The sequence below is a fragment of the Homo sapiens genome, chromosome X (genome assembly GCF_000001405.40).
Source record: "Homo sapiens chromosome X, GRCh38.p14 Primary Assembly".
NCBI lineage: Eukaryota > Metazoa > Chordata > Mammalia > Primates > Hominidae > Homo > Homo sapiens.
The window spans coordinates 101,159,780-101,173,566 of record NC_000023.11 but is presented as its reverse complement, the minus strand read 5'-3'; the positions used below and the strand labels follow the sequence as shown (position 1 = coordinate 101,173,566).

Below are 13,787 nucleotides of genomic sequence, written 5' to 3'. Positions count from 1 at the left end.
ACATAAATTACCATTTAAACACATAAGAAAGCTTCCTAATTCTATTTAAAACATCATCACTCTGGTTGCATCCTCATTCAGAACTGTGGAAATTCTGTATGCCTGTAGTCCCAGCTACTTGAGAGGCTGAGGTGGAAGGATCACTTGAGCCCAGGAGGTAGAAGCTGCAGTGAGTTGAGATCACACCACTGCACTCCAGCCTGGGTGACAGAGTGAGACCCCGCCTCCAGAAAAAAAAAAAAAAAAAAAAAAGAGGCCAGGCATGGTGGCTCACGCCATAATCCCAGCACTTTGGGAGGCCGAGGAGGGCAGATCACAAGGTCAGGGGATCAAGACCATCCTGGCCAACATGGTGAAACCCCGTCTCTACTAAAAATACAAAAATTAGCTGGGCATGGTGGAGCACGCCTGTAGTCTCAGCTACTCGGGAGGCTGAGGCAGGAGAATCGCTTGAACCCGGGATGTGGAGGTTGCAGTGAGCCGAGATCGCACCACTGCACTCCAGCCTGGCAACAGAGCAAGACTCCACCTCAAAAAAAAAAAAAAAAAAAAAAATTCCTACAACTACTTAATAGGTGCACATGATCATATACAATTGTCTTTGCATATTCCTAACTTCCTAGACTTGAAGAGGGCAGGGTAAGAGACAGAAGATAATCAAATAATGATTTTATGAGTATAATTTTTCTAAATGTATTATTATACAATTAAGATGATCACTATGCAAATATAAGAGCTTTAAGATTACTCATCTCATCCATTTCCAAAGGACTTAAAATAGTCCTTATAAGTTTTTAAACATTGATATGTTACATAACAATTTATCCATTTAAAATGTACAATTCAGTGGTTTTTATATTTACATAGTTTAAAACTTTCATTACCTCAAAAAGAAATCTCTTATCCGTTAAGAGTCACTCCCCATTACCTGCCAACTATCCCGATCAGCCCTAGGCAACTACTTCTTTCTGTCTTTATACATTAACATATTGTGGACATTTTCATGTAAATAGAACCACAAAATATGTGTTTTGTGATTGGATTATTTCATATAGCATAGTGTCTTTGAGGTTTGTCCATGTCATAATATATGTTTTTTTTTTTCCTGCCAAACAGTATTCTGTGAAATGGGTATAGCATACTTTACTCATTCATCAGTTGGACATTTGCATTGTTTCACCTTTTGGCTATTAAAAATAATGCTGCTATGAACAATCTGTGTTCAAACTTTTGTGAAGACATATTTTCATTTCTCTTGGGGATACACCCAGTGGAATTGCAGGCTCATATGACTACTCTATGTTTGAAATTTTGAGTAACTACCAAACTCTATTCCAAACTGGCTGCAATATTTATGTTCCAACCAGCAATACATGACTATTTCAATTCCTCCGCATCCCCCCAACACTAGTTATTGTCTGTCTTATTATGCCTGTCTATCTTACAGGGTATGAAGTTGTAGACCATTGTGGTTTTGATTTGAATTTACCTAATGACTCATAATGTTCAGCATTGTTCCATGTTCTTATTATCCATTCGCATATCTTCCTGGGGAGAAATATTCAGATATTTGGTCCGTTTTTAAATTGGGTCATCATTATTTATTTATATATTCGGAATAAAATAGTTTTATCAGGTATGATTTGCAAATATTTCCTCTCATTTTGTTTCCACCTCACTTAATGGTGTCATTTGAAGCACAAATGTTTTTAACTATGATAAAGTTCATTTTTTTCTGTTATGTATGCCTTTGCTGCCATAGCTAAGATATCACTGCCCAACCCCATGTCACCCCATGTCACAACGATATACTCCTATGTTTTATCTAAAAGTTTTATAAGGCCAGGCATAGTGGCACACGCCTGTAATGCCAGCACTTTGAGAAGCTGAGGTGGGAGGATTGTTTGATCCCAGGAGTTTGAGACCAGCCTGAGCCACAGACTCAGTTTCTACAAAAACTCATTTAGCCAGGCATGGTGGTGCATGACTGTGGTCCCAGCTGCTCAGGAGGCTGAAGCAGGAAGATTGAGTGAGCCTGGAAGATCAAGGCTGCAATGAGCCGTGTTTGCGCCACTGCCCTCTAGCCTGGGCGAAAGTGTCACCTTGTTTCCAAAATAAAAAAAAGTTTTCTGGTTTGGGGCTTTATATTTAGTTTTTTAAATCCATTTTAATTTTTATTTATGGTGTGACACAGAGACCCAACTGGATTCTATTGTCACAGTACCATAATGAAATACTATAGTCTTTTCATTTTAAAAAAAATTGTTTTATAATCTTTTCAACTATTATACCGTCCCAGTACAATGGGGGACTATTCTTCCCATTGAACTGTGTTGGCTCCCCTGTGGAAAATCACATTGGCCCTAAATGTATGGGTTTATTCCTCAACTCTCAATTCCATCCCATTGACCTGTGTCTACCCTTATGCCAGTATCACACTGTCTTGATTAATATAGCGCTGTAGACTTTGAAGTTGAGAAATGTGAATTTTCCAAGTTTTTTCAATATTGTTTTGATTATTGAAATAATATTGAAAAATATATTGTTCTGGGTCCCTCAGTTCCATTTGAATTTTTGGTTCACCTTGTCAATTTCTGTAAAATGCCAGTTGGGATTTCAATAGAGACTGCATTGGAGGCCAGGTGCAGTGGCTCACTCTGTAATCCCGGAACTCTGGGAGTCTGAGGCGCACAGATCGCTTGAGCCCAGGAGTTCAAGACCAGCCTGAGCAACACGGCAAAACCCTGTCTCTACAAAAAATACAAAAATAAGCTGGGCATGATGACACATGTCTGTAGTCCCAACTACTTGGGAGGCTGAGGTGGGAGGCTTGTTTGTGCCCAGGCTGAGGATACAGTGAGACATGACTGCACCACTGCACTCCACCCTGGGCAACGGAACAAGACCCTGTCTCAAAGAAAAAAGAAAAAAGACTGCTTTGGAAATGTATATCAGTTTGGGGTGTATTGCTATCTTAACAATATTGTCTTCTAATCTATGAATATAGGATATATTTGCATTTATTAGATTGTCTACTTTTTTAAAACAATGTTTTGATATGGTGTATGATATTAACTACCTTTTGGATGTTAAATCAACCTTGCATTCCTGGGATAAGTCCCAGTTTGTCATGAAGTATAATTCTTTTTATGTAGTCCCGCATCTCTGAACGACAGTGCCATGTCCTGAGAAATGTGTTAGGCGATTTTATTGTGTGAACATCATAGAGTATACTTACACAAGTCTATGGTATAGCCTATTACTCCTTGGCTACAAATCTGAACAGCATGTTACTGTACTGAATAGAATACTGTAGGCAACTGAAACACAATGTATTTGTGTATCTAAACACAGAAAAAGTACAGGTAAAACACAATAGGTACAAAGCAGTACACCTCTATAGAGCACTTAACATGAATGAAATTTACAGGACTAGAAGTTGCTCTGGGTGAATCAGTGAGTGACTGTGAAGGCCTAGGACATTACTGAACAATACTGTAGACCTTATAAACACTGTACACTTAGGCTAAATCTATAAAAAGCTTTTCTTCAATAAATTAGCCTTAGCTTACTGTAACTTTTTACTTCATATACTTAAAATTTTAAAATTTTTTACTCTTTTGTAATAACACTTAGAACACAAACATTGTACAGCTGTACAAAATATTTTCTTTATATCTTTATTTTGTTAGCTTATTTCTAATTTTTCACTTTTTTGTTAAAAATTAAGCCATAGAAACATACATTAGGCTAGGCCTACACCAGGGCAGGATCATCAATATCACTGTCTTCCACCTCCACATCTCTTTCTACTGGAAGGTCTTCGGGGGCACTAATAAGCATGGAGCTGTCATCTCTGATGATAACAATGCTTTCTTCTGGAATACCTCCTGAAGGACCTGCCTGAGGTTGTTTTACAGTAAACTTTTTAAAAGTAAGTATGAGTAGATGCTCCAAAATAATAATAAAAAGTACAGTAAATACATAAACCAGTGACACAGTCGTTTATTCTCATCAAGTATAATCTGCTGTACATAACTGTATGTGCTGTTTTTATGTGAGTGGCAACACAGGTTTGTTTACACCAGCATCATCACAAACATGTAACACGTTGCACTATGACAGCACTAGGTGATGGGAACTTTTCAGCTGCACTATAATCTTATGGGACTACCACCATACATGTTGTCAATCATTGATCAAAATGTTGTTATGTGGTGGCACATGACTGTATATTGCTGGATTTGATTTGCTTATATTTCCTTGAGCTTGTTGGATGTGTAGATTGTTTTTCATCAAGTTTGGGGCATTATTAGCCATTATTTGTTTAAATATTTTTTCTGTCCCCTTCTCTCCTCTTCTGGTATTCCCATTATGAGCATATTTGTGTCCCACATTTCTCTAAGGCTCCATTCATTTTTCTTCACTTTTTTCCAAGTCCAGAATTTCCATTTCTGTGTATAGAAATGGTGTATGTGTATATTCTATACTTTATTGATACAATCATTGTCATCATATCTCCCTTTAATTAAACATAGTTGCTTTAATTTCTTTGAAGATACTTATAATAGCTGCTTTGAAGTCATTGTTCACTAAGATCAACATCTGGTCCTTATCAAGGTAATTTCTAGTCTTTTTTCCTGTGTATGAATCACATGTTCCTATTTCTTTGCATGTCTCATTTTTACTGCACTGAACATTTTAGGTACTACACTGCTGCAGCTCTGGATAACGATACTCTCTACTCCAGGATTTGTCGCTGTTGTTTGTTCACTTATTTGGTGATGTGGCTAGACTAATCCTGTGAAGTCCATTCCCCCACTGTATAGCCTCTAATGACCCCATTTAGATTTTTTGTTAGTTTGTTTTTATCTTTAAATCTGGCTTCCTAAGGGTCATCCTTACGTCAGTACAGGTTAGCAGTCAGCTACTGATAGATCAGAAGTTGTGCTTAAGCCCCTTGAGCCAGTAAGATTTTTTGTTTTGTTTTGTTTTGTTTTGTTTTTCAGAGTCTTGCTCTGTTGCCCAGGCTGGAGTGCAGTGGGCGATCTCGGCTCACTGCAACCTCCACCTCCCGGGTTCAAGCAATTCTCCTGCCTCAGTCTCCCTAGTAGCTGGGATTACAGGCACACGCCACCATGCTCAGCTAATTTTTGCATTTTTAGTAGAGACAGGGTTTCGCCATGTTGGCCAGGGTGGTCTTGAACTCCTGGCCTCAAGTGATCCACCCGCCTCAGCCTCCCAAAATGCTGGGATTACAGGCGTGAGCCACCATGCCTGGCCCCAATAAGGTTTCCATTCATTACTGTTTGCTCTGTAGCTTGGAGACTGCTTTCACACTTCAGGGAGTTTATAAGTTTGTCTCACATTTAGTCAGGAACTAATAGCAAAGCAATTCCTTCTTCAGTTGCTTCTGAGAGAATGCAGATTTACGTATGTGTACACTTTTCCATATCACCAAGTATGACCGTGATTTTAGCAAGGCCTCCTTTGCTCTTTCTCTGATCTCCCTTTTAAACTTCTGGCTGGTCTTCCTCTATAGGTATTATACCATGCTGTTAGTCTCCACATAAAGTCAGGCCTCTCAGGAAGGGCCAGGGTCTTGCCAGTCTTTAAGGCTTGCCCTGACCCCCTCCCTTGGCAGAGCCTCTGTATTATGGAGCAGTATTTGGAAGAGATGGGAGTTCTACTTTGGACCACACCCATTGGAATACTTCTTCCATAACAATAGCTCTTCTGCAACATGAAGTTGGGTGGGAAAATAAGTGCAGCCTCTAGTTCAGATGTTATGACCTCCACTATTATTGAGTTCTGTAAATTTTGAATAAATTGAGTTTCAATTTTGTGAATCTTCTGATCACTCTCCAGAGACTTTGAATGATTGCTTTTGCTAATTTTAAGCAATGAAACAGGTATTTCTCTGGGAAGAAGTTCCACTGAACTCTTCACAGTGCCACCCAGAGGTCCCCCACATTCCAATTTTCAATTGATTACGCAGAAAGTGGTAATCAAGTTTGGGAATTTAACCTAGTCCATGAAGCTGATTATAAATGCAAAAATGATTCATTTCTAATTTTTAAAAGCTGGAATTAAAGGTTAATTTTTAAAAATTATATACTATGTTCTCCCTTATTACCCGAGGTAACAGTAAGTTGCATACAAATGGATGCAAGGGCAACGTACAACGCAAAAAAATCAGTCTTGTTCAGTTTCGTAGGTGTCATTGTATCCAAGGCTGGAGTACTCATAAATGCCCAGGATGTCAGTCTATTAAATACGTGCTCATTCATTCATACTTTTTGCATTTTGTCCAAAAAGGCTCAAGCAATCTGTTCACCCATGAAGATTCCCAAATGCAAATTATCTCAGTAAGAATTACAGAGAATCACTTTTCTAGTAAACAATTCTACTATGTTAATAAAAGTTATGTGTGACACCATAGCCTTACTTTTCTTTCCAGATCAACCCCAAGATCAAAAAGAAGGAGAAAGTATAATAAAAAGGAAAAAAATGGGCCGGGTGCTGTGGCTTACGCCTGTAATCCCAGCACTTTGGGAGGCCAAGGCAGATCACAAGGTCATGAGATTGAGACCATCCTGGCCAACATGGTGGAATCCCGTCTCTACTAAAAACACAAAAATTAGCTGGGTGTGGTGGCATGTGCCTGTAATCCCAGCTACTTGGGAGGCTGAGGCAGGAGAATCGCTTGAACCAGGGAGTCAGAGGTTGCAGTGAGCCAAGATCACGCCACTGCACTCCAGCCTGGCAACAGAGTAAGACTCCGTCTCAAAAAACAAAAGGAAAAATATGTTAGAACTCTAATAGCAACTTTAGTATTCTTTAGTATTGAACATTAAGTCAATATTAATAATGCCACCAATTCTACACAAACACTGGGTAAAGAAAATACTTTTTTACAACTGCAATAATAAACCAAATTTTCCATTTCTTTTATCTTCTAGACATGTTTTGCACCAAAGCAAAATAGCTATTCTTTATTTAACTATTATGGTTTTTGCCATGAAGAATCTTCAAAAAATATGTTTTCAGATAACTACATTTGGCTTATTTGCACTGCCATATAATCTTAAGTGAGTTAAAAAATTAAAAGAGGGCTGGGCACGGTGGCTCATGCCTGTAATCCCAACACTTCGGGAGGCCGAGACGGGTGGATCCCGAGGTCAAGAGATCAAGACCATCCTGGCCAACATGATGAAACCCCATCTCTACCAAAAATACAAAAATTAGCTGGGCATGGTGGCATGTGCCTGTAGTCCCAGCTACTCGGGAGGCTGAGGCAGGAGAATCGCTTGAATCCGGGAGGCAGAGGTTGCAGTGAGCTGAGATCAGGCCGCTGCACTCCACCCTGGTGACAGAGTGAGACTCCGTCTCAAGAAGAAAAAAAAAAAGTTAAAAGAGAAATAGGCACAAAAAAAGGTATCCAGGTATGTCTAAGTATTTTATTTGTGGGGCAAAAAAAGATACCCAGGGAATCATTATTGAACAAAAAGACAAACCTAAGGGAAAAATTATTTTTCATAAATTTAAGTTTAGAAAAGTTTCTTTAATGATAAAATAATCAACTCCCTTCTCACAATGGAAAGTTCTACATGATCTTAAGGACCAAAATATCATGATCTGAAAAGCAATATGGAAAGTTATTTGCAGTACAAACTATCACATTTACTTAAAAAGCAGCTGAAGTTGCTTTTTTCCAGGTATATAGGTAACATTTCACACCATTCAATACTACCTTCCTTTTGTGAAACATTTTCTTCTGATGGCTTCCAGAATACCAGCCTCCTGATTTTTCTTCTAGGTCACTGGTGGGTCCTTCTCAGTCTTTTGCTGGTTCCTCTTCTCCTCTACTTCTCAATGCTGGCATACCTTAGGTCTCTGTCTTTTGCTACCTTCTCTTCTCTAGCTGTACTAGGTGATCTCATCCAAAGTCATGGTTATTCCCTAATGACTCCCAAATTAATTTTCTAGTCCCAAATTGTACTCTGAAGTCCAGACTTGGATATCCAATTGCCTACACAGCATTTCCAACCTAACATAGCCAAAACAGAATTTAATCTCAGAGTTCACCCAATTGACAGGTCAAAAATCTGAGTCATCCTTTACTCCTCTCCTTTTCCTCCTCATATCCAAGCTATCAGCAGACATTATCTTCTCTACTTACAAAACAGAGTCTGAATCCAACCTCTAACCCCTCCCACCTCAACATTTATCACACTTGTCCAAAACTGTTACCTAGGACACTATAATAACCTAACCAGTCTCTGCTTTCCTCTTTAATCTTCTTCAGTCTAACCTTGACATTGTAGCTCCATATTTCATAAAGGTAAATCAAATTATGTCACTCCTCTTCTCAATCTAATTGCTTCCCATTTACATATCCATGCCAGGCTATAAGGACCTGGCTTTCTTCCTTATGTCACTTCTTACCATTCTTCTCTCTTAATCACTATGCTGTAACCTTACTGGCCTCTTTGTTATTCCTCAAACATGCCAAGTAAGTTAACATTTTAGGGCCTTTTCACTTGTTTTTTACCTTTGTCCAGAATGCTCTTTCCCCAAATATTTATATGACTCATATGCTTACTTCACTGGGGCCTCTGCATATGTCATCTCTTCAAACAGGCTTTCCCAAACCATCTTATCTAAAGTTTCAACCCTCTCCACATTCTGTCCCAGTGGGATTCATCCCGGGATGCAAAGATGATTCAGTATACACAAATCAGTAAATGTGATATATCATGTTAACAGAATGAAGGACAAAAGCCATATGATAATCTCAAAAGATACAAAAAAAGCATTTGACAAAATTCAACACATTGTATCCCTATTCCCTGCCCTTTCTTTATAGCATTTGATATATGTTATTGTCTGTCTTCTCCATTGGAATGTAAACTCCATAAAAACAGGTACTTTGGGCTGGGTGCAATGGCTCACACCTCTAATCCCAACACTTTGGGAGGCCAAGGCGGGTTGATCACTTGAGATCAAGAGTTCAAGTCCAGCCTGGTCAACATGACGGAACCCTGTCTCTACTAAAAATACAAAAATTGGCTGGGCGTGGTGGTAGGTGCCTGTAATCCCAGCTATTCGTGAGGCTGAGGCAGGAGAATTGCTTGAACCAGAAAGTAGAGGTTGCAGTGAGCCAAGATCATGCCTCTGCACTCCAGCCTGGGCAACAGAGTGAGACTCCATCTCAAAAAACAAAAACAAAAACAAAAACCCGGGTACTTTGTATTGGTCACAACTGTATAACCAGCACACAGAAGAGTACCTGGCACAGAGAAAGGAGCTCAATAAATATTTATTGAATCAATTAATGAGTCAATGGACGAGTGGGATTTCTAGTCTGAACGCCATCCAATAATATAGTTTAGGGTTTGTTTTTTAAATGGGGAAAAAAAAGAACCCCAAGTATGCATCCTTAAAGACAAAAATTAATTCAGCTTGATTCTTCTCAAATGATACGAATTTTACTAGAAGGGAGAATTATTCAATAGCATTGAGGTAATTTTTTTTTTTTTTTTTGAGACAGAGTCTCGCTGGAGTGCAGTGGCGCGATCTTGGCTCACTGCAACCTCCGCCTCCCGGGTTCAAGCGATTCTCCTGCCCCAGCCTCCTGAGTAGCTGGGACTACAGGCACGTGCCGGCATGCCCGGCCAATTTTTTGTATTTTTAGTAGAGACAGGGTTTTACCATATTGGCCAGCCTCATCTCGAACTCCTGACCTCATGATCCACCCACCTTGGCCTCCCAAAGTGCTGGGATTACAGGCGTGAGCCACCACGCCCAGCAGGCAAAATTTTATAGTACATTTTCAGCAAGATATTCTAGCTATTATTAACTTTTTTAAAACTTCAGAATTCCTTCTGAAAGTAAAATTTCAGTTAGTTTATTTAGTCCTTACACTTAAAAACTGAAGCTACAGACACACACATACACGCACACATACACATATACATATACAATACACACAAACAAAATAGAGCAGTTCCATGAAATCAGACATATACGGGAATGTCTTGATTACCCAACAAATCCTCTCCCCTTCCTTCCCTCATCAAATTGCTATGATTGAAGGCCCAGGAAGTTACCAACTACTTAGGGCTTTTAGAGTCATACACATGTTGCATCCTGTTAACTTGGTGTTGGTGCTGTTGCTCACAGTAAGAAAAATGGCAATATCCCCAGAGACAGCAAAGTATTTTGCATGTTTATGTCTGTGAGTTAACTGTCACCACATATTGCCTGCTGTCTTCCATCAATGCAGCTCATAGTACCCAAAAATGTGAAAAAATCCTACCACAAAACAGATGTGTCTTTTTACATACAATTTGGTAGAACGCAGAGCCTGATGATGAAGGGGTCATTTTTCACTGGTAGGCTAAAAAAATCTAAATTTTGAAAAATCAGTTAGGCACACCAAGGCTCTCCTAAGCCATGAACAGAAGGCCAGTCTGAGTACTCCTTGAGGATGGCAGTCTGTCAGTGAAATGAAAATGGGAACTCAAGATGAGCCACTTTGCTCTAGCAATGAGGAGTGAGTTTAGTCCAGTGTGTTCAGTTTATGTCAACATTCATTTAATATTGATTGTTGCAGTTTATGCCCTCTGCTCTGGGAATGGAAGAATGATGAACACTACTTCTTATAAAAAGTTTCAAGCCTTGTAACCCCTGTGAAAATAAATAGTCCAAATACCAGCTCCATTTCTTTCCCTGCAGGCACAGAAAAAGGAAAATTACTTATCGAATATTTTACTATGCTTTTTCTCTATTTCCTCCTCTTTCCCTAGGAAGAGTTTGCAGCATCCCGCATGCACATATCAAAATTAGTTCGGGGGGGAAATGAGCTCAGTCACTAAGTAACATTTAAACCAGAAAGTACCCAATTCCAAGGGCTAAACGTCCATTTTATTATGTTGGCAAAAAAATTTAAGTACTGTGCAATGGAAATGTGTCATCATTCTCACACTCTAGGAGATAACATAGGAGCAGATATTATTATATTACTGCCTATATTAAATGTGTAAATAGCAGTTTTTGATAATGAGATAATTATATATATATATATATATTTTTTTTTTTTTTTTTTTGAGATACGGTTTTGCTCTGTTTGTTGCCCAAGCTGGAATGCAGCAGTGATCACAGCTCATTGTAGCCTCGACTTCCCAGCCTCAAGCAATCCTCCTGCCTCAGCCTCCCAAGTAGCTGGGACCACAGGCACGTGCCACTATGCCTGGCTAATTTTTTAAAATTTTAGTACAGGCATGGTCTTGCTATGTTGCCCAGGCTGGTCTCAAATTCCAGGCCTCCGGGTGCGGGGGCTCACATCTGTAATCCCAGCACTTTGGGAGGCCAAGGCGGGCAGATCACTTGAGGTCAGGAGTTCGAGACCAGCTGGCCAACAGGGAAAAACATCTTCTCTACTAAAAAATCAAAAATTAGCCAGGCGTGGTGGTACACACATGCAATCCCAGCTTCTCAGGAGGCTGAGGCAGGAGAATCACTTGAACCCGGGAGGCAGAGGTTGCAGTGAGCCGAGATTACACCACCGCACTCCAGCCTGGGGGACAGAGCAAGACTCCTTCTCAAAAAAAATAAAATAAAATAAAATCCAGGCCTCAAGAGATCCTCCTGCCTCAACCACTCCAAGTGCTGGGATTGCAGGCATGAGCCACAATGCCCAGCCTATGTATGGCTTTGTTACGCCAGTAACAAATCATACTTTATTTCATTACAATCATACTTTATATACATGCAACTGTAACTATCAAAAGTTATATCCTAGATAAGACTAGAAAGAATAAGTGCCAATAAATTCACATTAAAGTCACTGGAATGAATTTGGAAGGCAAACACTTCATTTTGACTTTGTGGAGGCAGCAGGCTTAAGGTTTGGAAAAAAGGAAAAGTATAAATTCTCTTGATGAAATTAAGCTGTATGAAATCCCTCAACACGATGAAAGTAAATTTATTTACCCGAATAGAGCTCACATTTACTGTCCTTTCTTCTGGGCTTTCCTTAAAAACAAACAAACAAAAAACAAAACAAAGCAAAACAAAAAAGAAGTGGGGAGATATGGTGATAGAAATACTTGGTTAGTACAAATCATCAGAAAATTAAGATGGCAATTCACTTGCTCATTTGCAAAGTTCTATTCCTACCATCACTCTTGGATTCCTTTCAAATATCCATCAGCTTTAAGAAATAACATTTTAAAAATTATTGCTAAGTGAAAACTCTTAAACTATGTAAAACAGGCCGGGTGCAGTGGCTCATGCCTGTAATCTCAACACTTTGGGAGGACAAGGCGGGCAGATCTCTTGAGACCAGGAGTTCAAGATCAGCCTGGTCAACATGAGACCTTGTCTCTATTTAAATAAATAAACTATGTATAACACAATGCCTTTTTAACAGAATTGTTATAATGATTAAAATAGTTGTTTCAGATGTAGGCAGGTTTTTATCATATATCATTTTTATAAACATAAGATAGTAAATATAAACAAAATAAACTGGTGAAAGTACTTCTAAAACTTCATATTCAGAGTAAACCCCTCTATTCAGAGTACAACTCCTCTGAGTTGTGGGATGTCTGTATTTTTTCACACATCATCCTCTGTGCCATAGAATGTTGGTTATGTACCATTTCTTTTTTCTTTTCACTGACACATAATAATTGTACATATCTATGTGGTACAGTGCAATGTTTCAATATGTGTATACTTTGTTTAATGATCAAATCATGGTAATTAGCATATCTATCACTGTAAACATTATTTCTTTGCTGTGGGAACATTCTAAGTCCTCTCTTGGCTATTGGAAATACACAATGCATTTCTTAAAGGAACTAAAAGCTAGGCTGGGCATGGTGGCTCACATCTGTAATCCCAGCACTTTGGGAGGCTGAGGCAGGTGGATTATAAGGTCAAAAGTTCGAGACCAGCCTGGCCAATGTGGTGAAGCCCCGTCTCTACTAAAACAAAAAAAAATACAAAAATTAGCCAGGCATGGTGGCGTGCACCTGTAATCCCAGCTACTTGGGAGGCTGAGGCAGGAGAAATGCTTGAACCTGGGAGGCAGAGGTTGCAGTGAGCCGAGATAGTGCCACTGCACTCCAGCCTGGGCAACAGAGCAAGACTCCATCAAAGAAAAAAAAAAAAAAAAAAAAAGAACTAAAAGCTAAGGGTGCTGGGGTCTCAATTATGTAAAGCTAACTACTTTTGGCTCCTGCTTCAGGAAAGTCCATTAACAAGTATGAATCACTGCTTCTGCCCTCCCTCCCTCCAAATCATTGGGTTTTTGAGGATTACAACAATGCTCCAATATTGTCTCCAGATTTTTTCCCCAAGCTGCTGACATCCATCCTGCAAAGTCTGATTCTGGCAGTCTGCCTGTGCACACTCCAATAGCAAATGACAAATATGCCATGACTCCTACCTGACTGACAATGATCACAACGATGTATCTGATCTCTTAGAAGCAGGAAAGTGAACAAAAAGTTTTTGAAATTGATGAATATACTACTCACTGATGAATTCCATATTCTATTTATTTCTCTAGCTTGAACATCTCTTCTGAACACCAAGCCCCAACTGACTACTTACATTTTTTTCTTGGATATCTAACAAGCATCTCAAATTTACGCAGGTCAAACAGAACTTGATTCTCAAATTGTCCTCCTCACAAAACAAAATAACCTCTCCTATTCTCTCATCAGTATTCCTCTTAATAATAAATGGAACCACCATCAACCCAACTGCTCAAG

At 39.2% G+C, this 13,787-nt stretch overlaps 1 protein-coding gene across 15 annotated transcripts in view; it reads right to left on the bottom strand.

The window, feature by feature from the left end:
- The window catches only part of CENPI (centromere protein I), an 83,656-nt gene that overhangs the window by 8,293 nt on the left and 61,576 nt on the right, over window positions 1-13,787 (bottom strand). For 8 of the 15 annotated variants that reach the window (XM_047441951.1, XM_047441950.1, XM_047441948.1 and 5 more), the window contains 2 exons: window positions 11,998-12,039; window positions 7,441-10,734 (listed from right to left, as the gene is read on the bottom strand). The exons of 1 other annotated variant lie outside the window; for it this stretch is intronic. In XM_047441951.1, coding sequence (XP_047297907.1) covers window positions 10,600-10,734; window positions 11,998-12,039 — 177 coding nt within the window. In that variant the 3' untranslated portion in view covers window positions 7,441-10,599. Of the gene's footprint in view, window positions 1-7,440; window positions 10,735-11,997; window positions 12,040-13,787 lie in introns of those variants that run through there. 6 more of the 15 variants (XM_047441955.1, XM_047441954.1, XM_047441952.1 and 3 more) reach the window with 3 other exon arrangements.